We start from the raw sequence: 24,388 nt of genomic DNA, 5'->3' as shown, positions 1-24,388 counted from the left end.
ATAGGCTTCAATAATATATGGTCATTTGGTCCAGAAACAGTAAGTCTTAGTTGTATGTGGTAATCTTTAACTCTGAATACTTCAAATGCCATATATTTTACACCTATTCTGGGCTAGATTTTGTGCTATGCACATTAAGCATATCATTTTCTTTCTTTTTTTTTTTTCTTTTTTTTTGAGATGGAGTCTGGCTCTGTCACCCAGGCCAGAGTGCAGTGGCATGATCTCGGCTCACTGGAACCTCCATCTCCCAGGTTCAGGCGATTCTCCTACCTCAGCCCCCCAAGTAGATGGGATTACAGCTTTCTGCCACCACCCCATCTAGTTTTTGTATTTTTATTAGAGACAGGATTTCACCATGTTGGCCAGGCTGGTCTCGAACTCCTGACTTCAGGTGATCCACCCAGCTCAGCCTCCCAAAGTGCTGGGAATACAGTCTTGAGCCACCGTGCCCGGACTTATTTTCTTTAATTTTCACAACATAAACATTACTTGTGACTGTGTAACTATAAAGTAATAAATCTGATTTTTGGTGGACATTAGTTGCCCTGGTCTCATTGTGTAGAATGAATTCACATAGTGTATATCTAGCTTCTCTACTTGTGAGTTTCATAATATACTAAATGGAGGTGGTAATAGTACCTAACATATAATGTTACTGTGGGAATTAAATGAGATACTATATGTAAAGTCCTTAGATTAGTCCCTAGCATATAGTCAGCACTCAATGAATGTTAACTATTATTATGTGTAAGCATTGTGGGAATAAAAATCAAACATTTACTGATAAGTGCTCAGTATATAGTAGGAGCTCAATACATACATATTTAATGAATTAATAAACTTTGTAAATTCTTTAAATGGCTAGATGTTACTGAACTATGGTAAATAGTATTCTGGCTGTTGCCTTACACTGTTAAATATAATATAAAGCAAAATGTTAAATAACACCAAGAATTCTGTATAGTTTCTAGGAGTATTTACTATCTATGAAAGAGCTTTTTGGGGGTTTAGGAGTATTATTTCCTTTCTCATTTAACATTTGCACTCTTAGTCCCATATAGCATGTGCTATCTGACTAGAAGTAGATGTGTGACCACAAAATGGACACAGATTTTTCCCCTTCCTTTAACAGTCATGCAAATATGATTTATCTTATGGTACAGTGAAAACAGAAGCAGTAGAAGCCTGCCCATAGTAAAAGAAGATAAATAGGCAAGAAAACACAGAAAGGCAGTGTGTGTCAAGCATGTTTCATGTTTGCCTCAGAGAACTGAAACACACAAAGTGAGAAAGACATGTATGTTACTATGTGCCAGTGCTAGAGATGCTGCATGCTTTTTTGATGATATCAAGACATTATAGTTTTGGGGAACATTTGTTTCTTAATAAGTTTATTTTTAAATCCTGCAATATTTACCATCTGAAACATTTATCTGAAATTGTCATGTATTAAATCCCATCTTTTCTAGAACTGGTGCTCTGCTTCTAGTAACAGTTTGAGAAAGGGTTCAAAGGTTTGCCTCTCCCTAGAATGTTCTTCTCACCACTGGTACTTCTACCCAACCTTTACAAATAGTTGATGCATCACTTCTAGGAGGCCCATCCTACATGTTTATGTATATTTGTGTCATTGCTCTGGCTATATTGTATTACAGTTTTCAGTTGAGATGTGTGTTTTCTCTTTTAGAGTCTGGTGACTAAATTGTGAGCTTCTTGAATAACGAGGCTGTGCTTTACTTATCTCCAATATTATTCAGTTCCTGAAATAGAGTAGATGCTCAATAAATATGTATCCAATAAATTAATAAATTTGCAGTCTCAAACACAGGCATATATTCTTATATAAGATTAAGGACATTAATAAAATTTTTTTATTTGTATGTTCCTAAAGTGATTGTGAATCTTTGGAAATTGTTTATGAACATATTAATATGTTTCTTAGTGCTCTAGTCACTTTGAGGGAAATTTTTTAATCTTTGAAAAACATATTTTTTAATCTCTGTATATTCTTTTTTACCCCGAGCATTACTTTTGCATAATGGACTCAAGTGTGTTGTCAATTACTGATTATTTGGTTGAGCCACACAGAAACTGTTAGAAATCCTTATTTTTATTTGCACACTATCTGTTTGGTGGCTTTGTTCAAGCCCATGGATTGTCAGTTAAATGGAAAAGTCTTACTTTCAAGCAAAATTCTCAGCATTTAATACAGTGTGTAGCATATATTTGGGAGTCAATAAATGTTCATAGAATGCATGAACAAATCAGTCATTGTTGCAAACTGATTTGAGGATGAGGTATGAGATTTTTTTTTTAAGGCTAAATGAAATGCCCAGTATCACATAGCAGGATAAGAGAAAATCTGACACTCATAACTCATACTTCTGTGTTTCCAGACTGTTACCCAAGCTCACTGAGAAGTGCAGTATATGTCTGATTTCTCAACTTCACCCTGCAGTAAACTTTTGCAATCCAGAGGCTAGAGACCTCTTTTGTGAATGTTGTCTGCCCAATGACTGTGTTGGCACCAGGGAGTCCCTAGCAGATAAAGTGGAGGAACATATGGTTTCCATCTGAATACAAATTGGTGGACATAACGTGGTAATTCAACTGAGATGTCCTCTATATTGTAAACTGAAAGAGTATGATTAGAGGTGTTTATAAACGGCATCTGAATTCCCCCACACCCCTCCCCATCCCCTTTCCACTGTAGTTTTATCTGTCTGAATCATAGCAATCTAGCCTCCCAGCCTCACTGCATTATTTGTGAAAATGGCCAGTGTGAGGAATTATTAATTAAAGCTAACAAATCACCCTGACAAGCTGTGCCCTGGCATGGCTGAAGGTTGATTGGCGAAAGTCTTCTCCTTTGGAGAAAAGACTTTTTGTGCTCGTGACGCAGTCAGGGACGGATTATTGAATATGCAAGTTAGAAGAAAAATCACAGGACAAGCAAATTGAGTATTTACTGGCAAATAATTGCACTCTTAAGCTGTGGCTCTCTTCCTAAATTCTTAACATTCTCGAGGGTTAGAAAGAAACACAGAAAAATGCATCGGTACAGAGTACATTTCAAAAAAAATACATAGACTGATGTTTCAGACTTGTGCAGGTAAGTGTGATTGTGTGTGCATGGAAAGTGAAAGAACAAGGGAAAGCAAAGGAAAGATAAGGGAAAAAGCATAACTGTTAGTCTGGTGAGTTTTTAAAATCAACTTGTTTATTGGAGCTCAGCGTATTTCTGAGTTGGAAATTTAGTTTCAGTGCTGCATTTATTGTGAAAGTTAGAGACGTGAGAATGAGAGAGGATTTTCTCAAAGTTGTTTGTCTTTATTAGCAGAAGAATATGTTAATGTTTTGTCCCAATAGTAATTATAAATTTTGTTCAGATATTTGTGGATATATGTGTAAAATTATCACTTGATTTAAAGATCTTTAGTTATTTTCAACATTGTTGATTATGACACGTCATACAGTGTTTCGAACATATTTGGGTACAACTATTGCATTTATTTTTAAAAGTAAACACTGTTTTCATTAGGACCAAGCTAATCCTTATTGAGAATTTCTAAAGGGACATTATAGTTTTGGAATACTTAAACTTCAGACGTCTATAATAACTAAAGTGTCCTTATTGTCAATTGTGTGGTCTTTTTATCTGTAATGTTAATCAGACTGCTAAGTTTTGTGGACATCGTAAGACAGGAGAGACTAGTTCAGAGGTCTTTCAGGAATAAATTTAAATACATAGAAATATGAGTGTGCAAATGAAGGTTAATTCCATGTATAAAATATAGACATTAAGAAACAGAGATACTCTTACAAGTACAGCTAGGTTATGTGAGCAACATTACCAGAATATATATATCCATTGCAGATGAATTGCATATTCTGTGATAACCTGGAAAATGCGCTTTCATCGACAACAAACTGTTTTTGAAATGAAAGTAAGTGACTGGAAAAATAGTGCTTTTGGCTTTTAATAACTATGAAAAACATTGATTTAAAACAAAGGCATAATCATAATTTAAACTAAATTAACTAATTAATAATTGCAAGATGTTTTAACAATATAACATCTACATGATACTAGTAATAGGAATAATAATAAAAATGGAAAATCTGGTAATCACACAGAAATTAATCAGATGACTCTCATGTTTTAGAAAATCAGAATTTTAAAATATAAATAAATAAAACATATGTTGCCTTCTAATCTATTCCTTGAGCCAAGTAATATTGTATTGGTTAGGATTTTTCTCTTACTATATCCTATTTTATTAAAAAATGTAATTTGTCTTGGTATAGGGAATAGAGCTCATAAGAAAGTTTAGAAAATATATTTTTTAAAGGTTTAATTCCCACTGGATCACATTCTGTCCTCAGATTTCAAGAGGCAGCCTCCTTAAAGTTTCCTGTGACTATTTGAGGGCAAAATTTGGTCCATTATTTAGAAATAGCAAAGGGGGCATTTAAAGCATATGTTCAGAGACTTAACCATCTGCCTGCTTTATTATGAATACCACAGAGTTATGAGAAATTGGAAGGACTCAAAAATTGAACCAGAGTTCTATGCAAGATTTTAAAAATACAGCACTCTGATTTTTAAAAAAATGTTTTGCAACCACCTACTTTTGCTAAGTATATCTTATTAGTCCTCTATGTAAGAATAGTATTATTCCACCTTTTTGACGTATGGTAAGTGAATGGCAAAGTATAGTTGAGTGACATGAACCTATAGAAAGTTAAGCATAATCCTTTCTCTCTGATTTAACCCACTAAATATGAATACCTGTGGAGTTTTAGACTTGTCATCAGTGAAACTCACAGTGACTTAGAGAAACACTATAAAATGGTGACTGCTGGAACAAAAATGAAGTCCAGCTGCTAGTTTCTGGGCTGTCTACAAATGAGTTGCAAGAGACATGCGGAGGCCAGACTAAAGAGCCCTTCTGTAATCCAACTGTGATGTAATGAAAGTATGAATCAGCTATTGGTTGCCCATGCTGAGGGGAAAAGCAACAAAATATTTTTTTAAAGTGAAAATTGACATTATTCCCAGGTGGTACTGTATTCCTTTGGTATCTGGAAGGATATGAGATTCAGAAATTAATAAAAGAACAAAAATCATATTTAAGTCCCAAGCATAGTAATATTTCACCTAGAGTGGTCGTATAAGGACATATCAATATGAATATAATTGTTAAAATGTCTAATACTCAATTAGAGTTCTTCCACATTACCTGAGTTTTACTAGAATCAGACTGAGACTGGCTGGATCATTCTCAGAGGAAAATATGCAAAGTAGACTAAACTTAGCCTGAATACAAGTTTTTGGTGTTGAGATGACTATCACTCTTTGTTGCTTAATGAAAAGTATTTACTTAAAAGAAAATAATACTGGAAGCAAAGGACTGAAATATTTGGTTTGAAGACTCTAAGTAAAAAATGTATGTGTATGTATCATGTATACTTCTATATTTGTTTACATAAAAATGTTTTCAGAAATATACACTTTATTAGGCTGATTAAGCCAAAACTTTTTTGTGTGTGTAATCGAAAGACTGAACACAAAAATTTTAAAACAGAACTGAAAGATGTCAGTCAGAACTGAATTAATGACCTGGGGCTGAAAATACCTATGTCAAATTTCATATGGATTTTTTCATGGTGGTATTTTAATTTTATATCTCCCTAAATGGAAGTGCTGCAGTCAAGTGAATCTATAGCCCAAAGAATAATGAAATATGTCAATTATTTTAGGTGGTTAGTTTTTATTTTTTATTTTGAGTACATGCGATGTAAATACCAAATACACATACATACATATGTTTTTGTTTTGTTTATTTGTCTTATTTACTATTTATTGCACCAATAAGGGAATTAAAATGGCTGACAATGAAAAAATAAACATAAATACATGATTGCAGCAAAATACATGAATTAGAAATAGGTAAGAAAAATAAAACAATAAAGGAAAGGATATAAAAATGGAGTTAGAAGTGAGGTCAGCATAAAACTATATTCAGTGAAGTGCTATACAGTTGCCTTTAAACTTTCTTGCAGCAAAGTTAAAGAGAAAAGCTTGTTACACAGTTTGTAACATCCATAAGCATAAGAAAATAATTTTCATTATTTGTCTTGAAAATGGCTTTTGAAAACAGCTCTTAGTTTTCCAAGAAATCAATGCTAAAGCAACTCCCACTGTAAAGAATTGAAGGCTGCAGATACCTAAAGGTCAGGTCGGAAGCAGAAGCAGTACCTTCCCTGGGACATGGATGTGGAAGTAGACCAAAGTAATCCCCTTTTAATCCCAGGGCATGTGTTTCTAGAGAGAGAAAAAAAGGACACCATTAACGCAGTAATGTTGGCAAGCTAAAAATGTGTGGAAAGTAGGGAGTTAAGGGGGGAATTTAAAAAAAAAATTTCATGTAAATAAATACATATATATTTTAGCAGCAAATCAAAGATTAGAAGGCATTCACTTTTATAATAACCATTAAAACATGTTATCAAATAAACCTCTTGAATCAATGTTGCTTTCCTAAATTGTTCATAAAACACTTCTGTACTGCTGCCATTCTTCTTCCACTTTTACTTTAAGCAGATTGTCAGTCTCTTTGAAGTTTTAAAAAGAGTCATTTCTGGCTTGAAATTTAATATTTCTCGCCCTTATGTCCTCCCTTGGTTCATTTTGAGAAGTCTTAGCAAATTGCCTATTCTTTTCACGGGTAATTTTGATAGTTAAGTCACATTTAATAGGCTAGTCTCTTCTCTTCGTATTGAAAAGGTGAACTGTATAGATTTATTATTATATTACCTTGTAGCCTAGTCCATGGTAAGTAGTCCAAGGACCAACTGTATCAGGATTACCTAGGGATTACCTATATCAGGATTATCTAGAGCACCTGTTAAAATGGAGATTCCTGAACCCCATTCCAGAATTTCTAAATCAGAAGCTCTGAGAATGTAGCCTGGATCTGCAGTTTAGGAAACTGCCCAGGTTAGTTGTGCATAATAAAGTTTGAAGTCCACTATTTTAAAATTGTGACTTTAAACATTTCTAGTATATGAGTGTAAAATAGTAGGATTTCTCTACAACAATCAATGAGGGTTTATTATACTGTATTAACACTAACTAAAACACTAATACATACTCAATAATATGTGATTGCCTGCTCATAAATCTAGAAACACCTAGATTAGACAAAACTCTGAATTTGTTTGAACCCCTTTAAGCCATATCTCACCATTTTAAAAATATTATTTAATTTTTAAGCTATCATTTATTAAGAACTACTATATACAAAGTCATATGTTGAGTCTGGGCACTAGAGATAAAAAGATGAATAAAAGAGTTTCTTGTCTGAAAAAAACTCATAACTAGAATAATTATGTTATTACTAGGATATTTTCTTATCCATACTAGGATAACTATGAATTGCCACATAATCTACTCTTTAAGTAAAACTCAAGGTTCCATATGGTATTATATCACTAAGTATACAGTTGTTGGTAGCAATTTTATAGAATAGGACCCTACTACAATTTGGAAGCTGCAAAACATAAGAAAACCCTGTAGGGTCTTCCTCCTCCCCACAGTGGGAGATTTTATCTCCCAAAACTAGGATGAGAGGGTATCATGGGGTCCTCCTGATTCCATTTCTCTCATCATTAATCAGTGATTTGTTGCCAGGATCCTTTTTGAGAAGAGAAGAGAAATGTGTGTGAGTGAATATACCAGACATTCTGAGAACTTGCATGTCTCTTTCTCCCCTTCCCTTCTGGTGGCTCAGCTGGCCTGTAAAAGATGCTGGAGCCTAAATGGCAGTGGCCTCCCCAGTTCGCAGGTGAGGCACAGTATGAAGGGGCCCAAGCACCTCTCACGTGGCACTCTTTGCTCCACAAGTTACAGCAGCGCCAGAAATTGAGTATCAACAGGCTAGAAAGGATGTATTGCACATAAAGGAATTAATTAGGTAGTGGTCTGAGGAACATGACAAGAGCTTGCAGTTTCATTGGTGATTGAAGTTTTCCTGGAAACCTTTTGGGAACACCTTTCCCCTTTGTTTCCAGAAAAATATAAGAAATACAGTGGAAACATCTATACCTTTTTCCTTCTTTTCGACATATATTTATTGAGGATGTAATGCCATGCCTTCTTTTATGGACTAGGGATACTGTAGTGAATAAAATAAAGTTTCTACTTTCATGAAGTTTATATTATAATGGGGTAGGAAAGGAACAAAATTACTTAATATAAAATATAAATGTGGCTGGGTGTGGTAGCTCACGCCTGTAATCTCAGCACTTTGGAAGGCCAAGGCGGGCAGATCACCTGAGGTCAGGAGTTTGAGACCAGCCTGGCCATCATGGCAAAACCCCGTCTCTATTAAAAATGCAAAATTAGCTGGGCGTGGTAGCACATGCCTGTAATCAAAGCTACTTGGGTGGCTGAAGCAGGAGAATCGCTTGAACTCGGGAGGCGGAGGTTGCAGTGAGCTGAGATCGCTCCATTGCACTCCAGCCTGGGGAACAAAGCGAAACTCTGTCTCAAAAAAAAAAGTGTGTGTGTATATATATATATATATATACGTGTGTGTATATATATACATACATGTATGTGTATATACATTATATATACATTATATATAATGTATACATATATACATTATATATACAGGTATACATATATACATTATATATACAGGTATACATATATACATTATATATACAGGTATACATATATACATTATATACAGGTATACATATATACATTATATATATAAAAAATATGCTTCATTTTTTAGAAATTGCCTCCTGTGTTCCCCATTACTTCTAATTATCCTCATATTATTTCATAATGTGTATGTATGTGTGTGTGTGTGTATTCCTTGATGCATTTGTAAAATCCTCCAGAGAAGAGACCAGTAAATTCAAGACACTTCTTGTGGGAAACTTCTTTCCATGGGGACCTGCACATAATGTAAGGGGAGAAACAAGTCATCTGCAAATACCAAGAGTGTGCATTGTCAACCCTAAAATAATTCTTTTTCATCTTTTGTGCTTGTTCTGGTGTATGTGTGTTCTGGGTTTTTTCATTGAACTGAGTGGTAGGCACTCAAGATGCTTAGAGCTCTAAGAGGTAGATAAGTAATGGGGTCAATCTTCAAGGGACTTCACATAAAGCAGAGAAGACTGATAATTAACAATAGTATGTGGCCTTCATAAGGTTCTGAGGCAGACAGAGTAAGGAGTACTGTCCTTCAAAAGGTCAGAGAGTACAGCAACAGGAAAGGCTTCCCAGCAGGAGTTATGTTTTAACTGAGACTAACAACCTAATTGTAAAACAAAACAAAAACATTTTTTAAGTAAAGTCCTGAATTTCCCCTTGATCACCTAAGTAATGTGCCCATGTTGAAAATATTTCAGACAATAGGAAAAAGTATTTTTTAAAGAAAGTAAAATCACCACTTAGAGAAACCATTGTTAACATTCATCAGATACTTTTTTGAGCATGTATTATGTCCTAAGGTTATGCCAACTGGCTACAGCTTCTCAGAAGGGAGCATTTTAATTGGCAGATAGTGTGAATAGCACTAATTCAAACCTTAACTCATTTCAGCTGTCTTCAGATTTGGCTTACAGACCAAATGGGCCCCAACCCTAATAAGGTAGATAAAACAACACAAATGGAGTATTCTCTTGAACAAACACCATAGCACCTGCTATATCCCCCACCTAGAGTAGATAGATACGAGAGTCAGATTCCTTGGGTTCCAATCCTGACTTGTACCTCTTTTCTATCTGTGTGATCTTTACCAAATTATTGGATTTCTATATCTCAATGTGCTTTTCTGTTAAATTGGATTTACGGTACTTACCTCATGTAATATTTTGAGAAATTAATAAGATAATACATGTAAAGTGCTAATCACAGTACCTGGCACATAGTAGAGTTCAATAAATGCTATCTATTATTTATTGGTGATTACTAGTATTATTACTACTATTATAGTTATTTTTATTACCAGAGAAACTTGCTGAAAATATATTTTGTCCAGTACAACTCCATTATTATTACTAACAAAACAATTCAAAACACATTTCTTACTGAGAGCGGGTCAGAGATATTATCTTTCCAACACACATTAAGAATCTGGATTTTATAGATGAAAATTGTAATACGATTTAGCTCAGTAGATAAATGACATTATGTGGACTAAATTTCTGTTTCTAGATAGAAATAATGTCTAAATGTGCCTTAAATGCCCTTCATGTCACATATTTTGTTGCAACAATTTGTGATTAACTTGGTTTGTTTTATTAAAAGAAACTTGTAAATCCAACGCTCTTATGTTTTCCAGATAGTGCCACCTTTCTTTATTCAATCAGTGATGGAAAATGATAAGAAATACAGTTTTACCTAAAGAGGGTATTTTCAGGAAGGAAGAGATTCTAATGGTCAGATCTGTGATTTAGCATAATAGCAAACAAAGATAACTATCCTAGCAGGTGCCACATAGTAGGTGACTAAAGAATCTTTATTGAATTGAAGTATATTTTGTAAGAAAAAGCATACGTCAATCCAGGTGTTACGTGGAAGTTTAAGTGATTTTAAGAGAATGCACAAATTATATGCTCATGGACAAGTTACTTTTTGTGACTAAATCTTCAAATGGAAAATAAACCAATAATATCTTCATTACATGGTGAGTGTGTATAGTCCTTGGTAGAGTTCTTGGAACATAATAGGTACTTGATAACTGATACCTGCGAACAACAGAAATAACCACAACAATAATAACACATAAAAGTCCTGTGTATAATGGCTATAAGCTCATTAATATATAACACATATGATTTGTATGTATTGATATATAAATAATAACATTTTAAATTGCTTTGCTAATGTTTGACACACAGTAGGAACTTGGTATAAATTTGATCTATTTAAATACCCTCATAAAAAGATTGCTTTAGTTATTTTAGTTAAATGAAAATGCAGTTCAAAAATCTAAAACTAACTTAATCCTTTGGAAAATGACAATAAAAGCAAAAGCTACCTAAGGATATCTTACTGAAATGGTCAAATAATTTGGCCTCAATGCAAATGAATAGCAGGAATACCACTCTGCTTCAAAGAGTAGACAAAGGGAATTAACTTGGAAAACTCTTAGGTGACCCCTATTTTGAATCTTATTAATTGGAAGCATTTTAAAGCTCAAAAGGCTGTTATTGCTAGTTACAGTGGTAGCTACATATGGAAAATGGCTGCAGAGATTCACAATACAAAAATAGTCCATTGCTAAATTCAAAATTCTGTTAATGTCACAAACAGTGGGACGTGAAACACAAATGAATTGTGATGACAGTTGAGTACCAAGCTGCCTATTTTTTCCCCCTCAGAGCTGCCCATATTTGGCTTTATATTTTCCTCAGTCCTGATTTAACCCATAAATATTTGTATTTTCTGCAGCTAGCCTCACCTTGGATCGTACTACTTAAGCATTTTCTTCCTAAGTGTTTCTCAATTCCTAGGAATTCTGCTTTACTGCTTTTCTTCCTACAGATAAGCATTTTAAAATATTTCTTTACCTATTGCTTTAGAGTCAGATTTTGAATCTTTTTTCACCTACAGTCCGATGAGGCTCAGTGTTGCTCTTTACTCTCCCATTTCTCCTCAGTGTTTAAAGTGTAACCTGCAGGCTAGGGCCTATTTCTTCTCCGTGTTGCTTTGACTTGGTACTTGCTGTCATCCTGATCATCTGCATTTATTTGCTACCATCATTTTTTAAAAACTGGTTTTTTAAATGTCACTCTTATCCTTTATGATAGAAGGTCTTTATGATCCGGATTTGGGGAGCAAGACTTATTTTATGAACCCACTAAACTCTCTTATAAATGCAGCAGTTCCACATAACCATAAGCTAGCTTGACCTTTGGGAAATGTCATTAAAAAATCTCTAAAGAGTATTGCTAAAATGACCAAATTATTTAGGCTTAATAGATTTTGTAGCATGGATACCAGACCTACTCACAGAGCAACAGTCCTGGCTGAATATATTTTATCTGGGTTTTACTGCATGTGGTGATTTGGCTGCCATGTATTGAGTGACCTCTCTGTGCCAAGCATTTTACATTTAATTCTTAAAACAATTTTGTGAGATGGGTACCATTATCTTCATTTAATAGGTAAGAAAATCTTGACCTAGAGAGGCTAAATGACTTGTTAAAAGGTGGAAATGGGATACAAACCAAAGTTTCTAAGACTAACGTTCATCCTTTCTCCATTTCCACATGCTTGTGCCTGGTTATATATTTACATTATTGGTAATGGGAAAGAAGTTTATAGTATAATTCACTTGGAGGCATAGCCAATTTATTCCTTCCTTCCTTCCTTCCTTCCTTCCTTCCTTCCTTCCTTCCTTCCTTCCTTTTCTTTCTTTCTTTCTTTGATGGAGTCACGGACTGTTGCCTGGGTTGGAGTGCAATGGTGCGATCTCGGCTCACTGCAAGCTCCGCCTCCTGGGTTCAAGTGATTCTCTTGCCTCTGCCTCCCAAGTAGCCAGGATTACAGGTATCCACCGCCACACCCAGCTACTTTTTTGTATTTTTAGTAGCGACGGGGTTTCACTATGTTGGCCAGGCTGGTCTCAAATTCCTGACCTTGTGATCCGCCCACCTTGGCCTCCCAAAGTTCATGGATTACAGGCTTGAGCCACCGCACCCAGCTGCCAATTTCTTTAAAACAAAGTGTTGGTGAGATTTTGCTATGTTGTCATGTTATAGAACTATGAATCCAAGGCTATAGATTGACTAGATCTCCAGTAGCAAAAGGTACATAAGTATAGGCAACATCCTTTGATTTTCCCTTTGGTTTTGGAGGACATGTTATTGTCAGTTTTGAAGAAACTACAACTTAATATGTGTGGCTTATGTACTAGGCATTCCTGACTTCTCATCGAGTGCCTCCTGTGACTTGTCCTACCTTTTCCTCCAAAACTAAAATCTAATTATTCTTAACAAACATATCCTGTAGGCCTTTTTCCCACCAAGTTTTCTGAAGAATTGTTTTTATTATAATTATTTAGTGCTTTATTAAAGTGGGCAATTAAAGCATTTTAAATGCCTCCATCATCAATCTATATGTTTATCTTATGAGGCATTAACACCACTTTACTTTTATACAGCACTTTGCAGTTTACAGCTTGAAACATGTATACCCCAAAAATAGCACATTGCCTTTTCATCAGAATAGGGATATCTAATTTAACAATAGTCACCACATACAGTGAAGCAGTGAGAAGACTGGCCTTCAAACCAGTAATCTTCATTTTCTACAGAAGTGCCCAAGCCTGGCTTTCCTCTTTGCCTTTATGCAGTTGGACCATTGAGTTCACCAGATTGCACCCCAAACTCCATTATTTTGCTTTGAGCAAGGACTGAGAGTTAGTGTAGACTAGTTAGTAACTTTGCCACAACAGGTTTACTTTTACTTTATTTGTGTCAGAACCTCTAAAAGGATCTCGTGAAAATTTCCTGGAATTTAGAGTGAAATTTTAGCTAGAAAGAAAGAGAAAGAGAGAGAGAGAAAGAGGAAGCTACAACAAAGCCAAAAGAAAGAAAGAGAGAGAGAGAGAGAGAGAGAGAGAAAAGAAAGAAAGAAAGAAGAAAGAAAGAAAGAAAGAAAGAAAGAAAGAAAGAAAGAAAGAAAGAAAGAAAGAAGCTACAACAAAAACCCCAGAACCATCTTTTTTCAAATAGTCCCTTGAAAAGAAAACTATAAAAAATTTATGTTAAGATTCTGGGTCTTTGAATTACTCATCATGAGCACTTTTCCTGGGCAGTATCTCCCATGTTCACCCTTCCTCTGGTCACATTGAATGTTCAATTTCCTTTTCTCACTCTGACAGTTACCAATGTTGATATGTCTTCATTATTATTTATTACTTTAAATTTAAAGCAGAGTAGTTTTTTTCTCACTTTTTGAAAATTCAATAAGTTTTATTGTGTATGTATCAAAAGTCACTATATAACTGTGCTCTCAATCTTGGTTTTTTTTTTTTTTTTTTTTTTTTTTTTTTTTTTGAGACGGAGTCTCGCTGTCGCCCAGGCTGGAGTGCAGTGGCGCAATCTCGGCTCACTGCAGGCTCCGCCCCCTGGGGTTCACGCCATTCTCCTGCCTCAGCCTCCCGAGTAGCTGGGACTACAGGCGCCCGCCACCTCGCCCGGCTAATTTTTTGTATTTTTAGTAGAGACGGGGTTTCACCGTGTTAGCCAGGATGGTCTCGATCTCCTGACCTCGTGATCCGCCCGCCTCGGCCTCCCAAAGTGCTGGGATTACAGGCGTGAGCCACCGCGCCCGGCCTCAATCTTGTTTTTTAAACAAATGAATATTGCTGTATTTTAAAAATATGAACGTCATTTTATTTTATTTTATTGAGACAGAATCTTGCTCTGTCACCCAGGCTGGAGTGTAGTGGCTCAGTCTTTGCTCACTGCAACCTCCATCTCCTGGGTTCAAGCAATTCTCCTGCCTCAGCCTCCCGAACTGGGATTACAGGTGTGTACCACCATGCCTGGCTAATTTTTTATATTTTTAGTAGAGAGAGGGTTTCACCATGTTGGCCAGGCTGGTCTCGAGCTCCTGACCTTAGGTGATCTGCCTGCCTCAGCCTCTCAAAGTGCTGGGACTACAGGCATAAGCCACTGCGCCTGGCCAAAAATATGAATACATTTGGCTATTTCCACCCTTTCTGTTAATCCCAAGGATCTTCAACTTTTATTCTTCTCTTTAAGATAGTGAGTCCTGGAAATAAAAGTGAAAATGAACAGTTCTAAAAGGTTAGTATTTTAAAAATTATAGTTTGCCATTCTCAGGTTTATTCAAAATTGACTTTCTGATATAACTATATGTTTTTACAAATATAAGCATTACCTAGGTAGTAAAACATATTCACAGAGAGTTATTATCAAAAATATAGAGAAAAATTTTACATGTATATGTCCCATTCCCTCCCCACTCCTTCCTGAGTTGTTGACATGAGAAAATATCTTTCCAACAGTGGGGTATCATTTGTTTGGTGAATTTTAACGTTTGCATGAGATGGTGTTCATGTTTGTGAAAAATATCGAAGACTTCTGACTTCTTTCTTTTTAACTGCACATGGCTCAATCTAATAAATTTTCAATATAGATTCTGATATGGTTATAATCCCAATCATACCACATTTAAAAGCTATATTCCTGACTGTGTTTCTCTGCTAGCATGACGCCACAAGGAAAATGAAACCAACCCAAACAAAACCCTCCTTATAACAGAAAGTAAAATGAAGCTTGTAACGACTGTTTTGAAAAATGGTTTGAACAGTGAGGAACAACCAATTTTTCAAACACTGTTGTAGCTGTTTCAAGCTGTAGTGTGGATAGTGTATGCAAGAAATCAATAAAGGGAAGAGATCTCTCTCTGACACAGATGAAACCTAAAAATACTGTTAAGACCAATTCTCCCTCCATGCATCTGTTACTGCATTCCACTAAAAGGTGTTGGGAAAAAAATCAGCCAAATTCTACTAGAACGAAGCATCCAGACAAGTGACTCTTCAAATAATTAAAAAAAAACAAAAACAAAAAACAAACAAACAAAACACACTACAGTAGAAAAAGGGGAATGGGGGAAAAAAGATTAAGCACTTAACATGTTGAGTATATACCCAAAGCAGAAAACTCAGTGAGTGAAAAACTTGTCCTTCAAAAGAAGATACTTTCTATCCTTCACCAGTAACACAGAATTGATAGTCTGGTAACAGAAGCCTTTTAAGTAGGGGTGGTGGGAAGAACACTGTCTTCCCAAAGGCTTCAGTAGGTATTCAATTGCCCAGGGCAATCTGATCAGCATGTCCTTGTTTCTAGAATTGAGTAAACCAAATCAGGATGAACCGCACATGGTTTAATAGTTAACTTTTAGAACAAGGGGCAGGGAGATGCTTTTACGCCATAGGCCCAGTGTTCATTCCAATCTCATTACTAAAGTCTGTTCTGAGAGCATTTACAGCTTTCCGGAGAGTCTGAGTTTGGCTGAATCCTGAAGATGGAAATGTAGCTTAATGACCTCCTTGTCCTGGAGTCTCCCTTAATACAGGTGAATTTTTGTGATAAATCATTCTCTAGAATCCAAAGTATTGATTGATATCATCATTATTACTATTATTATTATGATTAGCCCTTTCTTATGTGGTTAGTTCTCTCTCCATTTTCCTATTCTAGGAATAAGTGTAAGTTTTGTGAATATGCATTTGCTCTCTCTGAGTTTCTTTGAAACAGTTTATGTCTTCTTTCAAGTTGGAAGTGTGAGATATTTTGAATTATAGTTGGATGTGCAAGTCCAGTCCTGCTTTTTAGAGATCAGGAACAGAAAAGGTTCTACAAACAATCCTTTATTTGACTAAGAGACAGAACAAAGGAAGGGAGATAATTGTATCTTTGGGTGATTCAGTCTTCGGTGCTTAGTATTGATTGACTAGTGGTCTCTTTATCCTGGCCTCTGCTTTCTCAGATTCCTAAACAGACTCTTCCCTTATGTGTAAGAGGAACTCCCTCTTAGCATCTTCTCAGTCTCTTCCAAAGGAGAGTAACCATGGACGAGGATTTAGCATATCTAATGAATGGGCATTGGGTTATCAATAAGTATTAAGGGAAAATAACAACAAGAAAATTGAGGGCAGATTCATGGTAAGCATTGTTTGTGGAACTGTTGGACGGGTCTGGTGTGTAGTTGATGTTGTTGTTCTAAACTGAGCAGCAACAGTAACAACAAACAACGAAATCCTACTTCCCACTCTCTTCTTCCTTTCTATTCAAAAACAACCATCACTATCACAATAGCCCAGTAGACAAAATAAAAGCATGTCTATATTTTTGGTATATTACTGTATGTCTTAACTGTAGTTTCTCTGCCACACATTAACAGAGTTATTTATCCCTGATGTTTTTCAAAGATCACCTTTGTGCTTGTCTGCATAGCTGTTCTAATAGTGTTACTATTGTCTCTTCTTCATTATCTCCTTTTATTTGAGTTCTTTTTTTTCACGTATGCAAAGAGGCTCTTTTTCTAGGCTCTTTGCACACATTCACCATTGCACTAGGACAGATGGGTGTTTTTCTATATAATGCCTTTTAAAGTGAGAAGACAGCAAGAATAGATTTTGAACAATATTTTACCAGCATTATTGAAAAATTAGCTACTGTATATTCTATATACACACACAGCAGCTGCATAAAATGCAAATTCTATTCATGTCTGATCTCTTCTGCATTTATATGGTGACTATCGCTGTAGCACCTAAGCACTTTATGTTATTTCCTCTTATTATTATTTACCACCTGATCATTCCAGAGTGCTTTTTACAATCAGAGAATTTCATTAACAACCCATTCCCTCGCTCTTTGTTTTTCAGCACCCTTGCATGTAAAAGTATCAAGCATCTTGGTAGCTATATCAGATAAATTACAGTAAAAAGATAGAGGGCTTCCGACAGGAGGGCAGGGGAAAAAACACCCTAAAGCATCTCCTAAAATTTGGTTTGTGTTTTATGGTATCCAAATAATGTTACAGAAGTCTGTAATTTTAGTGAAAACCAAACCACTAGATAAGCGCTTTTATTTATCATGGTTTCCACCATTGCAATAATCGAAAGTGTGAGGTGAGGAAGAGGAATACTGTCTGCACTTCATAGATAGAGAGGACTGGGCAATTGCACTTTCTTCTCACTGTGGAAAGCTTGTGATTCTTATTGACTCTTGAGCTGCCTTTAGCCCAGAAGTATAGAAGTCAATCTGTTTTAAAATCCAAAAAGCTACTGTTATATTTTTTAAGCTAAGAGGATAGAAACATGTTTATTAAAAGGTTCATTGTGATTATAGATGAAAGTGCGTGGTTGGTACCTTAACAGTTTGATTGAATAAAAATCAAGTTCACACTGGGGTTTCCTTCTCAGCTCTACTCCTTGCTTTCTCTTTGACTCCAAGCTAATTGCATAACCTCTGGTTGACTTGTGCCTCGTCTACACATTCAAAGTGAAATTCAGAAATGAGGTTATTATCTAACTAATGTAGGCTGTAACATTATTTCTCTAAAATATCTCTGTGAGAGAATTTTGAAATTTCTGATTTCAGTAGATAGTAAAAAAAATAACAATTTTATGGACCATCTCCTTTTATTCTTAGACAACAACCCCATGGAGGTGGATACATCAGAGTCAGCTGGAGGTGGTCAGAATTATTTGCAATGTTTGGTAAGACACAGATTACTGCCCCTTCACCAAGTTTCTGATTCAGAGTCTAGGGTAGGGACTGATAATTTCACTTCTGATATGTTTCCACATGATGCTGATGGGGACCACATTTTTTGGATCACTGCCCTAAGGATGATATGGCTTAAGTACATATAGAAAAGGAAATCAAGGCTCAAGTCATGGCAGTAAATTTGTGTCTATACTCTGTCACTTTACTTTTGGCCTCAAGTCATTGCAGTAAAGTGGCAGAGTATAGACACAAATTTAGGCCTTCTTCCTACTACAGACATTTTCTTTTCACTTCTACTAGAGATATTTTCACTTTACTTTTATGTTTTGAATGACTGTCAGTCGTCTTGAGATCCTAAGTGAAAAAGCATTGTAAAGAGTGGTAATTGGATCTTTTCCCCTTAGATCCAGTGGCTACCCTATTGCATTTGTGAAAGGAGAGGAGGAAGCCATTCCAAATTTTAGTGATTAGCTTTGGTATGAACAGCTTTTAAGGCCAGCTTTATACTTCCCTTTGGGGATGAGAGTAATAAACATAGTCTTCTTTGTATTCATTCATCATAGCCTGTACATAGATATGAACAGGTTTCTCTTTGATGGACTTATGACCATGTTCTGCTGTGACAATGCTTTGTAAAAAAATTGTCACTTGTATATTACTTCTCCAAAAATCATAATAAAAAAAAGATGTCAAAGTGAACATGATGGGGCAAGGGAAAAACCACTGCAGACAGACTGAGGACACTTGAGTCTTGTACTACCTCACATATTGGCACAGATATACTGACCTCCATGGGAGACACCCAACAATTCTTCTTTACCCAAGCTATATGTTACAGTCACCCAGAAAGGCTTTGAAACAAACACCCACATCAGGGCCCAGGTACAAGAAATTCTGATTTAATTGTTCTGGGGTAGGGTCTGAGTATCAGTAGGTTTTAAAAGCTTGCCAGGTGCTTCTAATGTGCAATCAGGGTTAAAAAACCACTGGCCTAGTGTTTAAGGGCCTGGGTTTTGAAATCAGACAGATCTGAGTTCATATCTTGGCTCTTTCACTTAGTTACTATGCAACCTTGGACAAGTTATTTAATCTCTGTCAGCTTTAGTTTTCTCGTATGTAAAATGAAAATAATAGCACTTGTCTTGTAGGAGATCTATGAAAATTAAATTAAATGATACATTTAAATGTTTGACATCGTACCTGGCTTGTGGTATGGATCTACTACACATCAGCTGCTGTTGCTATTATAATGCACCTCAGTTTCCTTATCTGTAAAGCAAAAGAGGGGGCACTTTAATTTATGAAATGGAGGACAAATATCTCAGGATTTCGTATAGATACTTGTCTGTCACCATATCCACAGTATCCTACCCGGCTTCATTTTTGCCGTTCTTACTTCCTACACATATTTATTATTGTTAGGTACAATCATTGACAGGCTCAACCTTTATTATGATATTTTACCAATAAATACTTCTCTGCCCTCCCCCTTCCCACCAAGATTAAAAACTTGAAACATACAACAAATCCACTTGTCATATGGGGTAATGTAGGTATGATGGGTGGTTGACCTATGGGTTTAAGAAATAAAAGGCAGAGTTTTGTAAACATGTCTAAAAACTAACATGCCCCTATTCTTGATTGCTATTTTTTTCTGCCATCACTCACTCTAAGAGTTCAGTTGTTGGTAGCTTTCATCCTAGAAAAGGAAAATTGTTCATACTCTACTTCTTAAAGATTATTGCAATTTGTTAATTCCCTTCATTTTCCCATTTTCCCTGATTTCCTTCTGTATGTCTTTTTTTCTTTTCTTTTTTTTTTTTTTTACAGTCTTGCTCTGTCACCCAGGCTGGAGTGCAGTGGGGCAATCTTGGCTTGCTGCAACCTCCGCCTCCAAGGTTCAAGCAGTTCTCTGCCTCAGCCTCCAGAGTAGCTGGGATTACAGGTGCCCACCACCATGCCCAGCTAATTTTTTTTTTTTTTGTATTTTCAGTAGAGACGGGGTTTCCCCATCTTGGCCAGGCTGGTCTTGAACTCCTGACCTCATGATCCACCTGCCTCAGCCTCTCGAAATGCTGGGATTACAGGCGTGAGCCACCGCACCGGCCTCTTCTGTATGTCGTAGAGAAGCCTTAGTACACAATGAGTAGGTAACAAATTTTTAAAGCAATAATGATTTCATAAGCCTATTTGCTTATCTCCACCAGTGTTTAATAGGTTATACTTTTCATATATTTTAATATCTCTGATTTTAAAAATTAGACTTTCTAAAAGTCTCCTTGTATCACTCTTAACATAGAAATTATGTTTTTGGGTGGACAGAAAGAAATTATTTGACTGTCCAATAAAAGTACAGATGGTTCCATTTTTCTTGACTCATCTCACAGCACACATTAGTCAGGTCACATGCCTATTTGGGAATTTTTGTAGTACTAGGTCACTTGCCCAGCTTTGGGGCACATAAAAGAATATTTTCCTGGCTTTTAAGTTTGTGGATCTTACACTGTGCCTGGCATGGAGATAGGAAGGACATTTTTTTCCATTAAGCTTTTTCACTGTGTTTTGACAGGAAAAGTTGAAACAGAGTCCCTACTGAGATTTTAACATGTTCCATGGTGGTAACCGTAGGAAATAGGGAAACAGGAAATTTTTGGACAGAAGGAAGCCAAGGAGTCCATCTCAGCCTGTCCTCACCTCAAAGATACCAGTTGGACTCCATAATATTATTTTTATCTCCATGTTTATCTAAAGTTTCGTATTTCTATAGTTTTCTTTCTGATAGCAGGGAAACATTGCTGCCAATTATCATGAAAAAGATTGCTCTCTAAACAGTACTCAGTTCCTTCTTCTGGACAAATCAATGGAAATATTCATTCAGATATTAATAAAGCAGAATTATGGGAGTTTTCATTTGGAAAAATGTATTTTAGTGTTTAAAGAGATTCTCAAAAGATATCATGAGAAAATCCATGTAAACTCCAGTGATAGAGAAAGGTACTTGTTTCACACAAAAATATATAAACACAGAATAATGACATTTTTTGTTCATTAAATTCAAGGTGCTTAAAGTTGCCCATATGCACACACATACATGTATACCTTCCATTTACTCTACTTCTCCTCTACCACCCACTGTCCCAACCTTTGGGAACCAAAATACTGAAGTATAAATCAACTCTCATTTCTGAAAGATCTATAATGCCATTTAAGTGAAAGTCCTTAACCAACATATATTGTTATTTTTCCCTAAAAACTTAATTATGGACATTTTGATGCATGTGTTTGTTTGTGTGCATTTTTCGTACCCACAGGAAACATTTTTCAAACAATCTGGTCGATGGATCTCTATTGAAAATTTACCATTCATTAGCATCATACCTATGCTAATAGTTTCTATTGTCTTTCATTATTATGAATGAGATCCTAGACACACCATTTTCCATCATTTTATTTAAATAGTGAAATACAGTTAACCAAATAGCAGTCATGGCTATTAGCAACTTTTTGATATACATTTGGCATGGCAACAGTTATATTTTATTTCTCATGTCTATATTAATACCAAACCTTAAAATGGATTATGAAAATACAAAATAAGCTGTTAAAAAAGAAAACTGCTCTTTCCAGATCAGAAACAGTACCTCACAGGACTGGAATTAACATCATTATCATTGCCATTTTAAACGTAATCACCTCAGATTACATAATCTTTTACTAACATGTTTGTAAAATTAGGCTTTTCCATAGTCCAGCTTTGAAAGATAAACACCATGTGTACATAAGCATAGGTAAAATATCTCATAGATACAGAGCCCATAAAATGGGCATATTCTCATAAAGGCAGGAAAAGGTTTGCTCAAGGAGCAAGCTGATAAGCACAGTGGTGGAATGTCAGAATGCCTAGGCTCTGTAGTTCAGCCTCTACCACTGAATGAGTTTACCCTAAAGGATTTAACTTCACTGTATATCAGTTCCTACATCTGACTCAATGTCAACTTAAACACCCCCAACATTTTAATAACAAAATAATTAAGATCTAAAATTGTTTTGAAGTGTTCAATATTATATACAGATACAGCCTTCATAATGCTCAAGCTTAAAATAGGAATTGGGATCAAATTGTTAGAAAAAGTTCTCTTGTTCCAAATGTTGGAGACTGACTAAGTGATGTCACAGCCTCAAAGTTTTGCACAGGTTGACCACAAAGGCAGAGCCACAGAGGAGGAGCTGGCTTAAACAGGGCCCTGTGATGGTGGACTATGTTTTTTAAACTAATAGAAGAAATGGGAGACACTGAAATCTGTGAGGAAGCATGTAACATGATCACGTTTGTTATGTCTCTTGAATTATCTAAGGTTTGACACAAAGGGTGGATTCAAAGGGCCTGACAATTGGAAGCTCTGGTATGATAGAAAGGTTTTGCCTTAAGACTGTAGTTCTCAAACTGAATTGCACCTCAGGAACTGGCTTAAAATTCAGATTCTAGGGCCATATCCCTAGAGGTTCTGATTCCACGGTAGTTCTTGGGTGAGCCTGTGATTTTTCATTATAGCAGCACCTCTTAAAACCACCCAGGTATGGCCCATTCTCTGCTCAGCATTAGTTCTTTCCACTTCAATACGTTGGCACGATGGCCAGGCATGATGGCTCACACCTGTAATCCCAACACTTTGGGAGGCCAAGGCGGGAGGATCACCTGAGCCCAGGATCGCTGATGCCCTTGAGATCAAACTGTGAATTTTTTGTCATAACTAGTCAATAGTCTAGCATCCAGCTTATGTGGTTTCTGGTTATGGACAGTACTGAAAAGATTATTTAATGTTCTATAAAGTCCTACAGACAGAACATTTGATTTTTTCAATGGAAATTCTGTATCTTTGAAACGTTCTCTGTTTATTCCTATTACGTTTGCCTGTTTTAGTTTTTAGGAAAGAATACAAATACATCTGTTTGGTCAGAATTTTTACTTAATTGACACTATAGGATTTATCGGAATAGGGAGTCTTTTACAAATTTTGATATTGTTTTGTCCTGTTTTTTATGCATGTGCCCAGATGTCTTCACAAAACTAAAATGAATTTTTAAAAAATGAACAGTCTATTTAATGCACTTACCACATGTTGTTATATGAGAAGTGTGACATTTGACCTAACCTCTCTAAAACCCTTGAATCTATAAGGGTAAGCAAGAAGCATCCCCATTACTAAGAAATTTTTGTCATATGAAAGAAAATCTATCTTATTTCACATATTCAATTCCCTTGTCATTTTACATTATAAATAAATAACAAACCAATTTGGCACATGCCCACCGATTAAAAATAAAAGTTGTCAGAGAGGAGAAAGACAAAAATATGAATTATTAATTATAATATTAAGCAGCACAAAAAGCCTAACATGAAATGATATCACTTAAAAAGATTTTATCAAAATAAAAATTGGGCAATGATATAGTGCTTATTGTACAATTCAATTGTTATTTTAAATGATAAATATATTTACCATATCTAGTATATTTATATCAAATTTGATGAAAAGATATTTTAATCATAGCAAATAAAGAAGTTATTTAGAGAATAGTAGCATAAAAGGAAAGCTCAATTTTAAAGTCTCACATTAAATTATCATATTGACCTAGTGGCTATATTCACTGTAAGATCATACTCTTGCATATTGTTATTTTTCAAATACCCATTACTAGAAAAAAAGCAAGAACACTTAATTAGCAGAAAGGGTGATGTTTTTCTTTTCATGATGATTTTGGAAGTTTATACAGTTCATAGTAAAATGGGAATGAATGTGGGATATTTTTCCTACATAGAGATTTGAAACAATATACATTTAATACTGGTTTATAAATAACTAAATGTAGGTTTCCAGCAGAGTAGAGTGATTTCACCTCAAAAAGGGAAGATGATCAGGGCTTTGATGAAAATATTTCTACCCATGTCTTCCTAAAACAGCCTTCCTAAGGAGGCTAGGCTTTTGGTAATTTAAATGTTTTATTTCTGATAAAATTTCATTTGTTTCATGAAATGTATTAAATTCCATTTGGAAACAAAAATTCTGAAAAAAATTTC

General features: G+C 35.5%; 1 protein-coding gene and 1 non-coding gene across 16 annotated transcripts in view; both read left to right on the top strand.

The window, feature by feature from the left end:
- ZBTB20 (zinc finger and BTB domain containing 20) overlaps positions 1 to 24,388 on the top strand; it is an 832,789-nt gene that overhangs the window by 385,278 nt on the left and 423,123 nt on the right. For 4 of the 15 annotated variants that reach the window (NM_001393396.1, NM_001393393.1, NM_001393394.1 and 1 more), the window contains exon 1: positions 16,029 to 16,147. The exons of 8 other annotated variants lie outside the window; for them this stretch is intronic. The gene's annotated coding sequence lies outside the window, so the exon portion shown is untranslated. Of the gene's footprint in view, positions 1 to 2,903; positions 3,116 to 16,028; positions 16,148 to 18,231; positions 18,300 to 24,388 lie in introns of those variants that run through there. 3 more of the 15 variants (NM_001164345.4, NM_001164344.4, NM_001164343.2) reach the window with 2 other exon arrangements.
- Positions 18,486 to 18,566, top strand: MIR4796 (microRNA 4796). Its single transcript, NR_039959.1, has one exon. It is a non-coding gene; the product is annotated as a microRNA 4796 (primary transcript).

This window comes from Homo sapiens, chromosome 3, assembly GCF_000001405.40.
Source record: "Homo sapiens chromosome 3, GRCh38.p14 Primary Assembly".
NCBI classification, from domain to species: domain Eukaryota; kingdom Metazoa; phylum Chordata; class Mammalia; order Primates; family Hominidae; genus Homo; species Homo sapiens.
The sequence above is the reverse complement of the archived record's forward strand: the minus strand, read 5'-3'. Positions and strand labels throughout refer to the sequence as shown.